This window comes from Homo sapiens, chromosome X (assembly GCF_000001405.40).
Source record: "Homo sapiens chromosome X, GRCh38.p14 Primary Assembly".
In the NCBI taxonomy this organism is placed as follows: domain Eukaryota; kingdom Metazoa; phylum Chordata; class Mammalia; order Primates; family Hominidae; genus Homo; species Homo sapiens.
In genome coordinates, this window is record NC_000023.11 from 139,596,949 (window position 1) to 139,616,983 (window position 20,035).

Below are 20,035 nucleotides of genomic sequence, written 5' to 3' on the forward strand. Positions count from 1 at the left end.
GGGGGTGGGGGACAAAAGAAACTTCCTTTTCTCTGGCTTCATATCATCTGGAGGTATTTCAGCTAGGGTAAGTCTCCCCATCTCTTCTTCAATCCTGATTGGTGCATGATATATACCAGTTCAAGTTTTCCCACTGGGTGGAGCTAACCTGTTAAAAGGCTACACAAGTGCTAAAGATTTGATTCTTTTCTTTCCTATCTATTCCTATCTACAGGGGCAAGCAGCAATTATGGAGCAATACGTTTTCTTAGCTGACTCAAACATTCCTTAAGCAGGATCTCCCAGGTCTGGGATTGGGGGAAGACTGTTGGGGACAAGGGGGATCTCATAAATCCATTTGGCTGCTGATCTGAAGCCAATTCTCCACTTAGCATTATCAGTAGTAACATCAACATTTTGATCTCCAGTTATCTGATTCTTATACGTTATTTCTCAATTGGTTCCAGGAGGGGAAAAGGGATGTTGAGATGCCGACCCTCTAAAATTCCAACAATTATTAAAATGTGCTTACAATATAGCCATTTATTGCAATCTGATGCATAGAATCATTAACTGACTTCAGTAAATCCAGCATTGCATCGAGTGCCTTCTTCAACAGAGCAGATCCTTCACAGTCTTTGCTATATTTTAATAGCTCCTGTAATTAGAAATCAGGAATTAATATTAGGCAGATATTAATATCTGGTTGAAATGAATAAGTTTTTGGCTAACATGCTTTCAAGCTGGAATCCAAATATAATGTCACATTTTGGAGTAATTCCTTTTACATGCCCTTTGCTGCAGTAATATTTTTAATGGCTGTCAAAATAGAGGAAGTAGAATAGTGACTGAATAGTATAAAACAAAGGACATTTAATGCTTCTGGAGTTGAAGTATAATAGCTATTAAGACACATCAGAGATCAATTTTTAAAGCCATTACATGTAGGGTTCTTTTGTCCTCTACATACAGTAATTTGTTTTAGCCATGATGCACTCATAATGCATATAGCATAGAATATTATGAAAATTCACTTTAAAACAAGCCATATTGTATTTATACTTAACACAAGATTCTAGCAATCCTTTCGCATTATACTAGGGGAGTGCCATTCGCATTTTTCATTAGGAAGGCCCCTATGAAATGCAGCCTCAAAACTATAAGAAATATTTGCTTTGTTTAGTTCTTCTTACTAATATTTAAAGTTCTTCAGTAAAACATTGTGCGGAAATCAACACAACTTGTATGAAAAATTAAATAGCTAAGATCCCAGATATTCTCAGCCTGATATCTATGCCTATGGCATTTGTAGCCACAGTGAATTGATGGAGCACACTGCAAAATTCTGCCAAATCCAGCCTTCCCAGTCATTGAGCCTACCTATTTCTAGTGCTTCCTAGTAAACTATTTCCTTTTTAATGGCTCTGTCATATCTGACTCAAAAAGTAAAGAAACAAACAAATGCTTCATATAATTACCTTCAACAATAACTGATATTTAGTGATTCGTTGCACTGGTTTGAGTAAATAGGAATCCAGTCTAAGTCTGTGTTTTAACTTTCTTTGACATTCCTGTCATTAAAAGATAAATATCAATAAAATTAAATTAAGACATGTACCTGTGAAAATGCCAAGTGTTCATTGATTAAACCTAATGCCCCAATGTTTCTTACATCTCAAAGAATATTTATTGGAAAAATCACTGTTATAGTACAGAAATTATAAGACACAATATATCTGAAAAACTACCATAAACACTATTTCAAGGATTGGAGAGGTAAACAATTTCAACATTTCAAAGATTTAAAAGTTTTCAAATATAAATTCATATTGATGTGGAATGCTTAAAAGGTGTGAAAGCAGGGAATGACTATAGATTAACATGATTAAAACGTTCTTTAATATATTCAAGAAAATTCACGAAAGACCAAGCTCTACAAGCCAAGGCTCAGAAAAGAAATTGGTTGTGCTGAATATAAATCAGACTGGATATGAGAACAAAATTTTTAATATAACAAGAAAAAGCCATCATCAACTGGTGCTATACTTCAGTAATTGGCCCATTGCCACTATAAATATAAGGGTCATGATGTTGGGTTCCGGGAACATTGTAGGGGCCCATAGTTAGGGCAAGATGCAGATATTTAGGATGAAATGTGCATAGAGAAAGTATAGAACACAAAGGGATTGGGGAAAAATACGCCTGAATAAGAACCATGGCTCTCCTCTGAATATGGGTAAAATCCAACATACAATCTAATTCAAATGAGACTTAAAGATGGGGGACTGCTATTAGGTTGGTGCAAAAGTGATTGTGGTTTTTGCCATTACTTTCAGTGGCAAAAACCACAGTAACTTTTGCACCAACTTGATACATGCGTTTAGATCTCCTCACTCATGACAACCAACTAAAATGATGGAAAAGTTATTTTACTAGGCAAAATCACAAAGTTATGAAGAAGATAAGCAAGGGGAAAACTTCCGCAAAATTTGGAAACTGGAAACCAAACTTAGAAGTGGTCAACAACCAAGCACACTGGAGAAAAGTGGATTTCAAGTTGGTGGAGGAAAAAGCCAAGGAACAACTCAATTTATGTTATAAACATCTCTTCCCTGCCCTCCACAAAGTCTCAGGGATTATAGACACCAAGTACCTCTGAAAGTGGGAGGTAAAGGTGCGGTTCAAGAAAGGATGCTTGTTGAAAGTCTTTTTAAGAAGTAATTAGATAATAACAAGTGTTGGTGAGGATATGGAGCAATTAATACCCTCATACACTGCTGTTGGAAATGCAAAACGGTGCAGTAACTTTGGAAAAGAGTCCAGCAGTTTCTCAAAAAGTTAAATGTAGAGTTACTATATGATCCAGCACTTTCACTCCCAGGTGTATAGCCAAGAGGAATGAAAATATATGTCTACAGAAAAACTTATGCAAAAGCATTCTCAGCAGCATTGTTCATAATAATCAAAAGGTAGAAACAAGCCAAATGTGCATCAATCAATGAATGGATAAATAAAATGCTATACATCCATATAATGGAATATTATTCAACCATAAATAGGAATAAAAAACTAATACATGCTACAACATGGACGAACCACTAAACTATTATGCTAAATGAAAGAAAGAAGTCAAACACAAAAGACCACATATTGTATGATTCCATTTATATGAAATGTCCAGAATAGGCAAATCTATTGAAGACAGGATGCAGATTAGTGATTGCCTAGGGCTGCTTAGATTGGGGAAAAAAGGGAGGGTAAGACTGGTTTCTTTTTAGTGATAAAAACATGGTTGTACAACCTTGTGAATCTAGTAAAACCACTGAATTGTATACTTTAAAAGGGCGAACTGATGGCATTTTAGTTATAGCTCAATAAAGCTGTTACAAGAAGAAAATAAATGGCATGAAAATCTAAACAAAAGCAATAAGGCTCTCAGATAACCACACCACTTTGCACAGCTGGGTGCCTTCTCTTCCCTTCCTTTGGCAGAAAAATGGATGTTTATCTAGAAAGAGTAAAACACAGGCCCTATGGACCAAAGGATACAAGGTTCAACTTAGGGCAGAGTACCATATTGAAAAATATTCAAGTACTCTCCATGTTATATCTCAAACAAGTGACCCTCAGCCTTTTCTCCCAACTCTGCTACCACAACACTAGCATCCAGATCATTATACACAAGGTAGCAGTTCAAGGAATCTGACCAGCCTAATAGAAATGCTCTAAAGATACAGGTATTTGGGAATCCCTTCAAGCAAATAGCTTGAGACAAATAACTCAACAATGAGGATCATGGTCAATAAACCCACATATGCCCTGGAAACTTCCAATGAGCTTTTTAGTGTTTACTCCTAATGTAAGTGGACAGACAAGTATCACCAGACATTTGAGGAGAGCATCAAACATGGGTAATAGGAACCAAACAAAGAGAAATAGAAGAAAAAAAGCAAAGTGAAGACAACAGAAGATGTGCAGGGAGAAGAAAGCCATTTTTAAAAGAAAAATCTATTATCATCTTTGTATAGATGAATGAAGATACTGAATTCATAAAATGAAAATAGAATTCTATTAAAAGAAACATTGAAAAAACAGTAAAAGGATGAGGGCTCTTCAAAATTAAAAACACAATGGCAGAAATGGAAACCTCAATGGAAGAACTAGAAAGTAGAGTAATAAGACAAAGAATGGAAAATAGAAAAGATAAGATAATTAGAGGACCAGTCCAGGATATCCAATATCCGTACAACAGAAATTCCAAAAAGAGAAAATGGAGACAATTGGGTGGAGGAAATCAAAGAAAACCTCCAAGTAAATTTGTACAGGAGGTTCCAAATTCAAAGTTATCACCCTAATACTAGCATAATGGATAAAAATAGTGCCAACATTTGAACACTGAAAATAAGTTTTCATAAGCTTTCAGAGGACAGAAACTAAGTCACCTACAAAGGAACAACAATTAAAATGGCATCAGATTTCTGAATAGCAACACTGGAAGCTAGAAGACAATCAAGCAATACCTTCAAAATTCTGAGTATAATTATTTCTTACCTAGAATTCTATACACAGCCAAACTAGCAATGAAGTCTTAGGGTAGAATAAAGATATTTGCAGACACATACACTCTCAAAAACTTTTATGTACTGTGTACACTTTCTTGGGAAAACTACTGGAGGATGTGTTCCACCAAACAAGGGAGGTAAACAAGAAAAATAAAGACATGGCACCTAGGAATGAGGAGAGCCTATGCAATAGACAGGTGAGGAGAATTCCAAAAATTATGTTCACCAAGATCCCCAGATGACAGCTGCGCAACAAGCCTAGTGAGTCTAGACAAGCAAGACAGAAAACCCCAGGAGATATTTCTTTAAGAATATGAAATTCAGAGAAAATAGAATGTGTTTAAATGTAATAAGAAGAGATTTTTGTAACTCCCACATCTGGGAGAGGTTGGGGTAGAATAACGATAAGTATCTAGAAAACTGAGTAAAAAAACCACTGCAAGACAAACAGAAGGGTAGGAAAAGCAACCCTATTATACCACATGATTCATCTGAGCAAAGAAATTACGTAGTCTTAATTTAATACTGTATATCAATCTAACCAAAATTACGATATGACTATAGTGGAGATTTTGAAAGAAAAGAAGTATATTTGTATATGTGGTAGTTGGGTGGGTGGAGGGGCGTGAAAGAGAGCTAAATCTTCATCTTCCATAGTATAAAGGATAAAGATAAGCATGTCATTTGGAGCTATGGAGGTAAATACCAAAGGATGTAGCTAAAAGTGCTGAAAGTGTTTGCCTCTGGGAAGTTACAAATGTGTTTGTGTGTGTTGGGGGGGAGGGTGGATTTGCTCTTTAACTCATATACGTATATGCACATGTAACGTACTTAAAGTAGAAAATGAATTTATAATTAAGAAATACCGCAATATCTTCCAGAAAGAATATATCCAATACTTGAATAATTACTGTACCTGGAAAAATGCGCATTCTGAATACTTCCTCCAAATTGTTTCTGATCTGGGCTTATTCTGACAATATTTTGCATACATCTGAAAATCATCCTTCTGTGATAAAAAACAAATTCAAATGTATTACTAATTTGTGAATATGACTTTTGCCATCAAGAAAGGCTAAACAAGAGTGTAACCAAGCATCCTAGGAAATGTGGCCTAAAGGGCCTACTGTACTAGCAGCTGGTCAAAAGCCTTTTTTATATTCCAAGAACAGCATGCCCATTGCATCTGGTGGGAGGACACATAATTATCTAAGTAATATCAGAGCTTCCACTTGCCAAGCTTGAGGCTTAGATGGAGGCTTCTCTGTCTGAACTATAAAAACCTACTTTTTGCATAACGATGAACTAATAGGCTGCCAAGAAATATATTCTGTTATTAGTCTCTTGATTCCCTAGTGAATGAACTTGTAGCTGACTTCCAAGTTAGAGCCTACAGTCCTAGGTTCATCACTGGGACTTTATCACTGTAGCATAATCCATTTAGGCACTTATGCAATTCTCTTTCCCTGGAATCCTCTTTCTCTGACCCTCATGAATGGGCTACCTCCTACTCATTATTTAACATTTATCTCATGAGTTATCTCTTCTATACAACCATTGTTTATACCCCCATTCTATGCAAGACGCCCCTCTTCTGGATTTTCCCAGGACCATTTGTATATTTCAAATCTAATGCAACTCATCTTCTACACAATTAATAATTTCCCTGTTTTTATATCTAAATAGATTTGGGCTTGGTATCCACATTATCTGGCACAATGCTTGGTGCATAGTAGGTGACCAGTAAATGGTTGTTGAATAAATAAACAATTCATCAATAAACATTTATTAAACCACAACTGGTTGCTAAGAACGCTGCTAACCCAATGAGAGATACAACAATATATAGGATATGGACTCTCGTTCTAAGGGCTGTCCATTAAGTTTGGGAGAAAATTCACGTATATATGTAAAGGTGCACAAGCACAGTAAATATAAAATCTCCCATGAGTAGGATAGACATTACATACTATGGAGTCTAAAGGAAGGATAAACTGCTATTGCTTGATGAGGTTGGGAAAGAATTTGGTCATAATTTAAATATGCTTAAAGTTAGAACATCTTAGCCGGACACGGTGGCTCACGCCTGTAATCCCAACACTTTGGGAGGCTGAGGTGGGCAGATCACGAGGTCAGGAGATCGAGACCATCCTCGCTAACACGGTGAAACCCCGTCTCTACTAAAAATACAAAAAATTAGCTGGGCGTGGTGGTGGGCACCTGTAGTCCCAGCTACTCGGGAGGCTGAGGCAGGAGAATGGTGTGAACCCGGGACGTGGAGGTTGCAGTGAGCCGAGATCACACCACTGAACTCCAGCCTGGGTGACAGAGTGAGACTGTCTCAAAAATAAAAATAAAAAAATAAAATAAATAAAGTTAGAACACGTTGAGCAAGGTTGACACACAGTTCTTTCTTATCCTTATTCTCTTCTCATTTCATAAACACTTTCTGGGATAAGACATCTATTTTGAAGCTTTCAACAATCACCTCTATTGAATTAACTCTTAAATCAAGACAAAACTGATCTTTCAGGAAGAAGAGAAACTGCATAAGCAGAGAAGCATACACAAAAAATATTCTAAAAGAAAACTAATGGAGGAGAGTATGATCACTAACCTGGGAAGTCAATTGTATTAACCATACTTGGGACACAGAGGAATGGGCCTCCCTAAATGCTTTTGTTGAATGAAAAGAACTGACAGCTCTCTGTTTCTGTGAAGTTCCTGTGATAGATGCCTTGATGGCTGAAAGTCAGACTAGATCCAATTCTAAAACTTTACATGTATTTTAATAAGACAAATAATATAAATAATAAGGTGTTTTTTAGGCAAAAAAAAAAAAATTAACCAAGCCCCAGATGGTTTTGTTATCATGATCCCAACTCTTACATCTTCATAGTCAGGATGGTCCCTGGATTACTAGGATTACCCAGGAGTCAGTGTTCAAGAGCTGAGCCACTGAAGCATTTGATACCACAGAATGGAAGGGGTATTTTTATGCTCTGGATATCCCAGTGCATCCATTTCTGCAGCAAAACTTGGTTTGGTATTAAATACTTGCTGGAGTAATGTGTCCTCTCCAAAAACATAAAGACATAAAGTACCTATCTTGTCTCCAAATCTGTTCTTATAAGTGAGTTGCTATTTTGGTGGTGCATATTTATATATATTTAAAAAATAATTTAACTAACCCTTTCCAGGAAACAAGGTCCCACTCTTTCTGGAGCATGAGCACAATTTTCCAGGCTGCTCAAGAAAATGCTGTGAAAATTTCAGAGAAAAAAAATTGCATGATTTTATGTGAAATATAATAAACTGGTAAAGAGAGCACTTTAAATAGTTTTATAAAAAATAAATATTCAATTCAGCAATTACATACTCGTTATGGAATTCATATATTTCTGCCATGTTTCCAAAGAGAATGTCCTTTTTATTTCTCAGGAGAGGTGGCATAAGATCAAACATCTCTGGATTATCCATCTCCGCTCTATAACCCTACCCAAAATAAATACATTCATGCATTTTAAAATAATTACATGCACATTTGGTTGGGCTACTAATGGTGTAGGTACAGCAGAATATTAAGGGATTTGATGGTGAAGTTTTTTGAATTTTATTTCAATTTTAATTCAATTCAAATCTCCTACTTCCCAAAGTTATCCATGACTTTTTTTTTTTTTTTTTTAGAAGGCAGGGCAAGGAAAGGAAGTCAAGTTTTCCAATCAAATAGGCAGAATAAAGTAATAGCTCTTTGGCCTTCAGAGTAGCTTGTAGTGTAGGAAACAAGATAGAAACCAAGATAAAAACATAGACTACAGGTCATCAGCTTCTCCTTAAATTGGCAATACGTGCTTAGGTTTTTTCAGACCAAATTAATATCATGACATTTTTGTCAAAAGAATATTTTATCCCATTCTCAGTTTTTTACATCACGATCTCTAAATAGCACCCTGGGAATAATTGTAACAATCGGCTGTATCCCTAAGAGAACATTTTCTCTTCTGTAATAAATTCTGAATCAATCATTCCCATTACTGAGGGAGAGCCTGAATGTGCACGTTTAACCGACATGCTGCATCAAACAATAAAAGAAATGCCCACTGCTGCCATATGACAACCAAGGAAGGAGACGGAAGTAGAAGATTGCCCCTAAACACTTTCTAATGAATGTAGCAAGGGATCATTCGGGAAAAGATAGGGCAAATACAATTTGAGTCGCTTACCAACAAAACAGTATACAGTTCTCGAACATAAACTCTCTCAGTCTGTATCAGTTCATTTAGTACGTGGCTAAAATGAAAAGACCATATTTATCAGTTATTTTATTACTGAGATCTATATTGCAATGTTTCAAGTATTATCATCATGAGAAGGTAAAAATAGCTAATGCATAGGAATTATCAATGGTTTTCGTTTTAGCATCAAAATATGAAACTACTTTTATGGTTTCTAGAATAAAAACTATATATATATATAGTCTTATGGGTGGTTTTTATACATTGTATTTATATTCATTATATATATAACATATATATATATATATATCCCGCTTTCTTTCATATATATACACATATATATGCTCAAGGGTTACTATTAGCTTTAAAGAACTTTATTTCTAACTCACTGAGATTAGGAATAAATGTACTAAAAACTCACAATAACTATTCCTAAATGTCTGAGGTTTTTATTGTTTGGGGGTAGCATAGTTTATGAACTTTAATACCCTTTTTTTCCCTAAAAAATAAGTATTAGCATTTTAGGCACTATTTTTCCCTTTTCAAAGTAATGTTCTGAAATTTTCTAAAGGAGGCCGCAGATTTTTTTACCCTGGTCTCCTCAAGTGTAGGTCATACTTATATTTCCGTAATGTATATAAATATATTTTTGAGACGGAATCTCACTCTGTCACCCAGGCTTGAGTGCAGTGGGGTAATCTCGGCTTACTGCAACCTCCACCTCCCGGGTTCAAGAGATTCTCCTTCCTCAGCCTCCCTAGTGGCTGGGATTATAGGCGCTCACCACCACACCTGGCTAATTTTTGTATTTTTTGGTAGAGACGGGGTTTCACCATGTTTGTCAGGCTGGTCTCGAACTCCTGACCTCAAGTGATCCGCCCGCCTGGGCCTCCCAACATGCTGGGATTGCAGGCGTGAATAACCACGCCCCACCTGTTTCTGTAATAATTTTGTTTACTGTCTCTGGAAAATAAAGTATATTTTCCTTTCAATGTGATTTCCAATTGACATCATATTTAAAACTCATTTCCCTTGTCCCCAGTATAAGTAACCCATTTGATTTAACTTATACTTTTGGCTTTTTTTCTTTTTCTTTTTGCATATTAAAGCATTTAACATTTGAGAGTCTTACAGTATAAATATGTGTCTGTATATATATATATATGTATCTCATACATACATATGTATACATACAACTTGCTGCAAAATGCTTGCTAATTACAACTGTAACATCAAATTAAAAAGATGAATATTCTTATGTCTAGAATATTAATATACCATTATAACAATGAACAAAACAATTATTAACATCTATAAAATAACATTGTATCAATCTGTATAATCCTTTGTAATTTTTGATGTACCACTCTATTCATTTCGTATATCGAAATTTGCTGAGAGAATAGATCTTAACTGTTCTCACCACAAAAAAAAAATGGTAACTACGTGAGGTGATAGATGTGTTAACTAACTTGATATGGTAATCATTTCACAATATATACACATATCAAAGCATCACATTGTACACTTTAAATATACATAATTTTGTCAATTATATATCAATAAAGCTGAAGAATTAATAGATAAGCTAACTACCATGATTTGATCATTATACATTGTACACATGTATCAAAATTTCACACTGTATTCCATAAATATGTACAATGATTATGTGTCAATGAAAAATAATAATAAAACTTTTTTTAAGAATGATAAACGAAAACCTCCATTTTATTTCAGTCTGGGGTAAAAAAAAGAAGATACCAACATTCTGAAAAAGTTTAGTTAATTTTCTTCAAATCACATAAATAGGCTATAGGTTGGCCAGGCCTAAATCCTGGACTTCTGACACCCAGTAAAACCCCATTCTGTGAACTCAAATTTCTAATCACATTGGCCTTGAACACTGAACCAGACTCCCACAGTTAGATGTGTATGTGAGTTTATATTAATAAATAAAGGATACTTCTTTAAAACATCCAAGCTATTGCCATTGTCCAAACTGGAGGATGGACCAGAACTTCTCTTCTCCTGACAATCAGGCACCACTTCAATCTGAAATACAGAAAATAAAAGTTAAATTAGCACCTCTGTAGGTATAATTTTTCTTCAAGGCGATCCAGCTCAAATTAAGTTTATTCTAGGTCCTAACTCTGAAGATAAATTGAAAAATAAAACTATGATTTTTTTCAAAATAACTTTGATACGTACTAGTAAAAAGTGATTTAAGTTGCCTAAGAAAACAGATTTAAGATACTAATTAGAACTTATTTTATGTATTAACTCTTTATTTATTTGGCATTCTTGGAAAATAAGGTTGATTCATAAAAAGTTAATTTTCTAGATAACTAAAGGGTATTCATTGAAGAACCAAACATCTTTTTAACCATAGTGATTTTTGATGGAAACCTTTCTAGAAAATATTATATGCATCCTTGAATTCTTTAATCAAAGACACACGACATAACTGATCCTTTTCCTTTTTTTTTTTCTAAGATCTGGGGCAAGCTAGAAGATCCTTTTCCTAATGATTCGATGGCATCATCATAAGCTTGAATATGATAAAATCTAATGATGTGCTGCAGGGATACCTGCAGAACTCTATTCTTTCTTGAAATAACTGTAACCTGTACATCTCTGTCTCTACTCCCTGCCACATGTTAGTCGCTATAAGTTGCCTCCCTAATTCTAATAAATTGCCTTATTTTACAGACTCTAAAGGACTTGGACTGGCCTACCGAGTCAACTGCAAAAGATTTGTGATGATTATTTCTTTTAAGAAGCATTTGAAGTGTATTCCTGGTATCCAATCTCAGCTGTATTGGACAGCTGAGCTTGCCAAAAGCCTGACCTCCAAGTAAATGTAACATTTCTTTGGGACAACTAGAACCCAAAATGAAGTACAGTATCTATCAGCTAAATATTTCCCCAAAATGTGACCTACTTATTACAAATGAAAGAAACAAGCATGTATTATGACTTTCTATATATTAGGCAACCACAGTCCTAGGTGCTTAACACATATTATATTTAATCCAAACAGCATTTAGCAAGCAATGGCATTCTTTTCCTCATTTTAAATATGGGAAAACTGAGGCTCAGACAGATTTTACAACATGTAATACTACAGAATTTGGCATTCACCCTGTTTCTTTCTTGAAACCAGAAGTTGTGGCCGTACAGAATAATAACCAGGCTTCGTGTATCAGTATAGACCATTCACTAGGCTGCTATTAATTATATTAAAACTTAGAGCATTATCATATGCCACACATGTTCAAGGTGCTTCACAAATATTAGATTATTTTATCTTTAACTCCATGATGAGAGTGTTCTATTTTTATGCCCATTTTATATATGGAAACTGAGTTCCAGAGAACTTACCCAAGTTTATATAGCCAGTAAGTGATGGAACTGGGATTATAAGCCAGGCAGCCTAGTTTTACAATTTGTACCACTATGCTATACTGCCCCTTAAAAATATGTTCTCATCTTTATTTACCACAAAAAACACAAGAAGAAAATGTGGGGTCTTGGGGACTGGGAGCAGTGGCTCATGCCTGTAATCCCAACACTTTGGGAGACCAAGGCGGGAGGATCACCTGAGGCCAGGAGTTTAAGATCAGCCTTGGCAACATAGCAAGACCCTGTCTATCAAAAAAAGTGTTAAAAATATTAGCCTGGCATAATGGCCCATGCCTGTAGTCTAAGATACTCAGGAGCCTGGGGTGGTAGGATTTCTTGAGCCCAAGAGTTTGAGGCTGCAGTGAGCTATGATCGCACCACTGTAGTCCAGCCTAGGCAACAGAGCGAGACCCTGTCTCAAAAAAAAAAAGAGAGAGAGAAAAGAAAATGTGGGATGTTGTAGCTATGATGAGTCTACTTCTTTACAGATATCAGATTATCATGGATAACTGAGAAGAACAGAATCTTGTATCTAACAATAAGTAAGTAGATTGGGCACAGTGATGCACACCTGTAGTCCCAGCTACTCAGGAGGCTGAAGTGGAAGGGTGGCATGAGCCCAGGAATTAGAGGCAGCAGTGAGCTATGGTCACCCCTGTGAATGGCCACTGCACTCCAGCCTTGGCAACATAGTGAGACCCTGTCTCTAAAAAAACTTAAAAACAACAACAAAAAAGAATGGATATCTTTTTTGAGCTAAGAGTTAGCCTCTGCATGGTCCATTAGAACCTGTCCTGTGTGCTTCATACTTGTAGGACTGGAATTGCTCATGAAAGAAAGTTTATTCTGCACAAAGGTGCAACGCTTACTTACGATTATTGAAGTGATGGTGGGTGGTGGTAAAAAGAAGCTGGAACATATACAAGATGTTCTACAGAAATGATTCTAACCTTGAGCCAGGACTTGAGAAACAGCTCATACTGAGAAACTGGCATATCTGGGGATATGCCAGTAATGCAGTGAAACACAATGCAGCAGCAGCTTTTTTTCTTTTAAATAGTCTTTCAAAGACACAATATTTGTCTAGTGAATGAAACATGTGATTTAAGGCTCATACCAACTCTGCAACTAAAGCAATAAAGTCAATTTTGAATTAATTAATGATATTTACTTTTAAGTTGCTCTGATTTTGTCTCCAAGTCTTCTTCCCTGGTAGAGAAATGTGAAAGAAGAATTTCAAACCAGAATTAAAGTCAGCACTTTTAATAGAAATACATATATATTTATTAAATAACTTGAGTTAATATTCCAATATGTTTATATTAGTATTTTAAAATCACACTATAGAAGATAATGTTTGGTTGGACTTACTCACATGATTTCAGCTTCTTACTGAGCATGATTTTGCTATGTATTCACCCATTCTCTCATTCATCAAACATTCACTTACTTGCCAAGCATTGAGGTAGGTGTTAGTGCTCATAATTATTTGCAGATTTAGTATTCATTCTGACACAAAAACATTTAATCAAATTGTAGCTCATTGATTAACTCAATCAAAAAGAATTTTGAAAACAATCTAAGTTTAATCTACTAATTAGAGCATCTACACTTGTTTGGCACTTTCTACATATTGAGCACTGTTCTAAGAGCTATGCATATATCTTCTTTTTTAATACCCAAAATCATCCTAAGAGGTAGGTAACAACTTCTATCCCTATCTTCTAGATAAGGAATTAAGGTTAATATCTTGTCCAAGAAGCAGAGGTGGTATTCAAATTCATATAATCTACTCTCAGAATGTTTCTAACCACCATATAAACATTTCCAAAGCATGATAAAATGTTAAACATGTCATCAAAATTCAAAACTTTCATCTTTATTTTTTAAATGTTTAGTTTAAAAAGGGTGAGCCACTGTATTATTAAGCAAGGAATCCAGACGTTCCTACAAAGCCGAAGGCATGGTCCAACCAAAGACTAGATTGTTTAGATCCTAATTCTCAGGGCTGCTGAAAAGGCTGTTACTCACACAGGCTGCATGAGACTCCTCTCTCCAGGAAAGGAACAAACCTTTTGTCCTTCCCTCCTCAGCAGGAGCCAGTGACAGGCACACTCAGGAAAACGAAGGGCTGCTATGTTCTCTAGACTCCATACTTCACTTTCACTTATTAAAATATATTTTCTACCTAAACTTCAAGTTTATATCATCATATATGTAAATATATATTAAACAGTGGGAATTATACAAAATTAATTTCTCAATGAATACTAATATGCTCCACTTCAAAGAAACCTGTTCTACAGAGATCCAAACTTATTTTTAAAGGTAACTTAAGAGGCAATTGTTAGTTTTGCCAATTAATTCTTTGCAAATACGTTAAGAGATACAAAATAAATATGTGCACAACTTATGAGAAACACATCTTATTCTTCAAAGCAAGGTAGATGTATTCATTTTTAACAATATAAATACATACAAAATGATTGAGCACCTACACCATATGCTAAGCTCTGTGTTTAGGGATACAAAGATGAACTGCACACAGTTTCTGCCCTTACAGAGCTTAGTTTAGCAAGAGAGACAGAAAACAGACAATTCTACTAAAGCCAAGAAGAAATTTGGGGGTACTTGTTATCACACAGCATGAACACCTAAGCAAACAGGGGTGCAGGGAAGGAGGAGATCTGGGGAGGAAAAGCTTACCTGAAGGAAGTGGCCTAGAAATAGGAAATCTGATAGAGGAGTAGAAGCTAACATGTGGGAAAGGGAGAGGAAAGGAAATAGTGTTCCAGAGAGAGAACAGTGTGTGTAATGTCCACAAAGTAAGACACCTAGGAAAGGGAAGAAGAAGTGGGCAGGGTAAGTGGAAGAGACAGAAAGACTGTCACAGTTGCCAAGGCCAGGATGATGTTAGCTCGGATTAGGAAAGTGGCAGTAAGGATAGCAGTGGGGATGAAAAAAAAAAGTGAATGGATTCGAGAGAGATACTTAGTAGGCACAAATCCACAGGATATAGAATTTTTGATCAATTAGAGGTAGGGCATAAGTGAGGAGGAACCAAGGTCCCAGGCTTGGGCAACTGGGGAAATCATAGTGCCATTCACCAAGATGAAGAGTAGAAAGATTGCAGGAGAGATGAGTTAATCTGAGGTATGTTGAGTCTGAGTTGCCTATGGGAAATTCAAAAAGGCAAATTATAAACAGAGATCCAAAGCTTAGAAGAAAGATCTAGGCTAAAGATCCAGATTTAGGAGCTCAAGTCACATTTTACATTTTATTCCTCGCTGTCAATATCTCCCATTCTCAATAACTACACTCTATATTCAATGTTAATTCTACAAATATTTATTACATCTTGCTAAGTGCCAGGCCCTGTGCTAGGTGCAGAATTATATTTAATGCAAAAAGAAAAAAAAAAACTAAAATAAAACCAAAGAACAAAAAAACAGTTTGACTCATTTTTATGAGAAATTAATACTTATGTTTTGAGTTGACCAAATTTTATATATTTGGCTTAGCGATTAAAAGTCTTAAGAAATTGTTTGGAATGGATTGTTATAATCCCTATTACTAACAGAGCAATTAGGTAAATGAACAAGGTTTGTAGCATACATAATGTTTTGATTTAATTTACAAAGCATGATGTATAATAGATAAAAACATTTATCCATCCATGTCACTTATTTATTAAGCTGCCTTCATCCTCATACATACATTAGGCAGTCTCAAACTGAAGCAAATCCAAGCTACTCCTAACAAAAAGTTGGATCATGAAGTATCTTAAACAAAAGAAGGCCTGATTCATTTTAGCATCGCCAATTGTTTTTCTTTATTCTTTTTGCGGGGTCACTTTATGAAAGACATTGAATTTAGAACCATAATCTACATTTTATATAGTCATTTTCCAACATAAGCATAATACAAAGAGAATAATGGATGGTTATTATGAAAAACAGGAAAAAGTTACTTGCAGGTAGAATGCAACAATGAACTGCTGCTGTTTTTAGATGCCAAACTGGTTTTTCACATGTACACAAACTCAGAAAAATGTATTGGCAAAAGTAATATAATAAAGATGGGTACCTTTTGAAAAAAGTTTACATGCTTGAAAGAAAGAGTATCCAACTCCCACTGCAGAAGGAAATTGTAACGCCATTAAATAAGAATATCAGAAAAAAATGAAACAATACAAAACAAAATGTGCTAATGAGTGACTAATGACTTGCATGGATCTGTAACAGTCTCCTCAAAACTCCGTTCCTCAACCCAAGGTGTACCACTTTAAGAACCTCTAGAAAGAGTTGAGATTTTAGAGGACAATTAAGCAAGCAGCTTTAACCAGAGGAAAGGACTAGTCCAGTTTATCAAGTATTTTTTTATAGTCTTCAATTTTTTTCACCCTATCTTTACAATAACCTGTTGGAGTCAATAGGTATTATCGTCCTTATTGTCCAGGTAAGGAAACTGAGGCTAAAGAGGCTAAGTGAACTGTTCAAGGACACACAGCCAGTACATGGAGCCAGAAATCTAACCGAGGTCTGTCTTCTGCTCAAGAATATCAACCTATTTCAGTTTTATTCTCATAGCTATCGGGTTTTATCCCCTTACTGTTTTTTATTTTGTTATCTTTACTCTTTTTCCAGTAGTTTTAATATTCCCTGTATCTTTGCTATATCTTTGATATTGTATTTAAGACATTGCTTATAGTTTTATTTGTAAATATATTTATATATTTCATAAGTATTAAACATGTAACTTTCATAATCTTAGCCTAGTTACCTGCTTTCATCACCTTTTGAAAATCTGATCCATGCTAGATATAAGCTATTATTTTTATGCTCATTATCCTTGGCTCAAGCCTTCTCTGAATTCCAAAGCAGTTCTCCTACACTAATGAAGCTTCTGACTCTATTTAGATCAGACAGACCAAATTTACTCCCATCTTCACCCATTCCACTTACTTAGGGCCCTAAAGACCAAATTACTCTCCTCTAAGAAGCCCCAAAGGCAGCTCAAGGGAACCCCTGAGCCATCCATATCCAGAGTAGTTCAACACATTATAAGGACAATTATTATTTCCATAGAACTTAGAAAGAAAATAGATCTTACATGGATAAAACTAGGAGATTAAAACTAGAAAATGAACTCTGTAATAGTAAATTACCAACAAAATTATTCTATTTAACAGCATTTATTTAGAAAAGGCAATCCATTTTATTATCTAAGCCATTCACTTACTAGAAGCTTATAAGAACCAAGTCATATTTCACCACTATGCAATATATTCATGTAACAAAACTCTATGTACTTGTACTCCCACATTTATACAAATAAAAAGGAACCAAATCATTGCTTATCTAGAGTAGCAGTAAATATGTGTGTGTGTGTGTGTGTGTGTGTGTGTGTGTGCATGCACACATGTGTATACTAGCTTCATATACTTTCCTTCACCTGCTGGAAAAAAATGCAAGTTTGATGCTGGTAAAATTTTCATACTCATTTTCAAGGCTGGAGTACTCAGTACTGAGACGTTCACAATTCCTTGTACTGTACTATATCACTACTATGTTTTAGTACTGTACAATAACCTCAATCTGACTCTTGCCTTGCACAATATAAATATGACCAAAGATGCTAAAGTGAAATTTTCATCTATCCGCATTGAAGAATAAACTCAGTATTTACATCAAGAGTAACAATATAAACAATAGCAAGAAAAAAAGAGACAGAGAAAGTAAGACATTTTACCTTGTTTAGATGAAAAAAATGGTGTCCCAGATGTGACCAAATTTTCAGGTGTGGGTACCACAAATTGGATTGGCCTCACATGCTTATCTGCCAGGTTCCTGAAACCAGCCTGCTGGTTCTCAAATATACTTCGAATGTTTTCAAGCTTGAGTTGTATAGTCTTCATTTGAACCTGCGAGTTGTATAAGAATTATAGGAAATATTTTATGAAATGAGGTCATTACAAACCCCATTACATTTCTCAGACTCAGATGGTCAAAAAAATAATTTAGAGTTTAAAATATAACTACAAGACATTTAGAAAAATAACAAGACAGATTAATGTATTATGTTCACATGGATATAAAACCAAAATCTCAACCAAAACAACCTGAGGGAAAAAATTACCAAGAAGCAGTCATGAAATTGGTCACTGCATAGAGTGATTTGCCCTTCATTGGTTCATTGGCTGAATCAGATAATGGCTGGGAAAGAAGGCATATTGCTCTTTCCTGTTTAGCATAAGAAAGCCACCAAGTTATAAAAACAATCAAATGAATAACATCGGTATAATATTTTGTTACATTTTACCCTGTAGGACATTCTTGTTATAGTCTTCTATGTTGCAGCAGGCTCCTCAGAGCCACCAATGGATAATACACCTTTGTACCTCTCCTAGATGCTTTGAGGCAGCTAGAGTTAAGCTTGGTTGCTTCCAGAGAATCACTTGGCTATTGCCATGACTGCATTTCTGATTTCCTGGGGCATCCCCTAGGATATTCCGCTAAGCATGGATCTAGATACTGCTCCAATCTTAGAGTCAACTACACATTTTAGCAGCAAATAGCATCACAAATGCTCTTATCTACAATGTGGAAAATTCTTCATGTCATTTCCAAGGGGGCAGTACTGAACTAACCTATAGCTGTCCACCCTGTTAACACCAACTTCTGCCTGCTCCTCCTTCTCCAAGAAGACCCAAATCCTATCTTTATGCTTTCATTCTCAAACTGAGTAGGAAAGCAACATCATCCACAGAGCATCTGCTGATGGTCACTGCAGCACAAAGGAAAGATGTCTGGGGTAAAGTGCTCTTGACATGGACCCAACATTCTGTTATAGAAGAGCTTTGGGCCTTTCTCCAGTGATGCACAACAAAATATGTGTGAGAACACCTAGCACATAAAAGAGTTTTAAAATAATGGATTTGGAGCTCAAAAAGGAAATTATTCTTCATTATATAGCAAACATATGCCTTTGAATTATTTGATGCTTGACAGTGGCACTACTATCACCCCTAAGAGGACAATGTAAGTGCAATTTGACATAAAGTTAGCTGTGAGGTAGTAAAACTCCTCCTACCCACAGTACTGCAATTATAATTTTCTTTAAATATTTATTTGAAAATAAAAAAGCCTCTACCTTAAGCTCAGGAGATAATATTACATCAAATTCATACTGCAGTGTTTCAGGTTCATAATTTATAAAGGGTAGAGCCATTTCAAGAAAATTTTCAATGTCTTGGAGAGCTTTCTGAGCATCTTCTTTAGACTGAAACTTATCTATTTCCTGATTAGCTAGAAGACATTCCCCTTCATCACAGCATTGACGAGCCTGGTAAGAAAATCAAGAAGAAAAAAAAAAAATATGAATTAATAAAGAGAAAACATATTTGTCCAATAAGTGAGTGGTTCTCAGCCTCTGGCTTCCGTGAGTCAGAAATGCTTTCAGAGCTGTTAAAAAAAAAAAAGATATCTGGGTTCTGCCCCCAGAAATTCTGATTCAGTAGCTCTGGGCCATAAGTTGGGCATTTATACTTTTACAGAGCTCCACAGATACTGCTGATACACAGCCGAGGTTGGGAAACACTGCATTTATTTCACAACAACTAATTTATTCTGCAGCAGGAGTCCGACCATTTTCTCAGCACTAACACTTAGTTGCATGTTACTTTCCCAAAATCAGTAACTGAAATATGAAATTCTTAGAAAAATATAAAGTGTAATACAAATGCTTAATGATGGCTAAAGACAAGAATAAAGTTTCCTTCCCAAAGAATGAGATGTAAAGATTAAAATGTTTATGTTCAGATATAATGTCTGTAAGTGATACCCCTATTTTATA

The 20,035-nt window shown here is 35.4% G+C and overlaps 1 protein-coding gene across 15 annotated transcripts in view; it reads right to left on the reverse strand.

Moving 5' to 3' along the window:
- MCF2 (MCF.2 cell line derived transforming sequence) overlaps positions 1–20,035 on the reverse strand; it is a 126,398-nt gene that overhangs the window by 15,179 nt on the left and 91,184 nt on the right. For 8 of the 15 annotated variants that reach the window (NM_001171876.2, XM_047442112.1, XM_005262413.5 and 5 more), the window contains 11 exons: positions 19,334–19,525; positions 17,933–18,104; positions 16,268–16,315; positions 13,353–13,390; positions 10,743–10,831; positions 8,765–8,831; positions 7,921–8,036; positions 7,733–7,802; positions 5,458–5,550; positions 1,458–1,550; positions 512–637 (listed from right to left, as the gene is read on the reverse strand). In NM_001171876.2, the coding sequence (NP_001165347.1) occupies positions 512–637; positions 1,458–1,550; positions 5,458–5,550; positions 7,733–7,802; positions 7,921–8,036; positions 8,765–8,831; positions 10,743–10,831; positions 13,353–13,390; positions 16,268–16,315; positions 17,933–18,104; positions 19,334–19,525 (1,104 nt within the window). The remainder of the gene's footprint in view (positions 1–511; positions 638–1,457; positions 1,551–5,457; positions 5,551–7,732; positions 7,803–7,920; positions 8,037–8,764; positions 8,832–10,742; positions 10,832–13,352; positions 13,391–16,267; positions 16,316–17,932; positions 18,105–19,333; positions 19,526–20,035) is intronic. The other 7 variants (NM_001099855.2, XM_047442111.1, NM_001171877.2 and 4 more) reach the window with 1 other exon arrangement.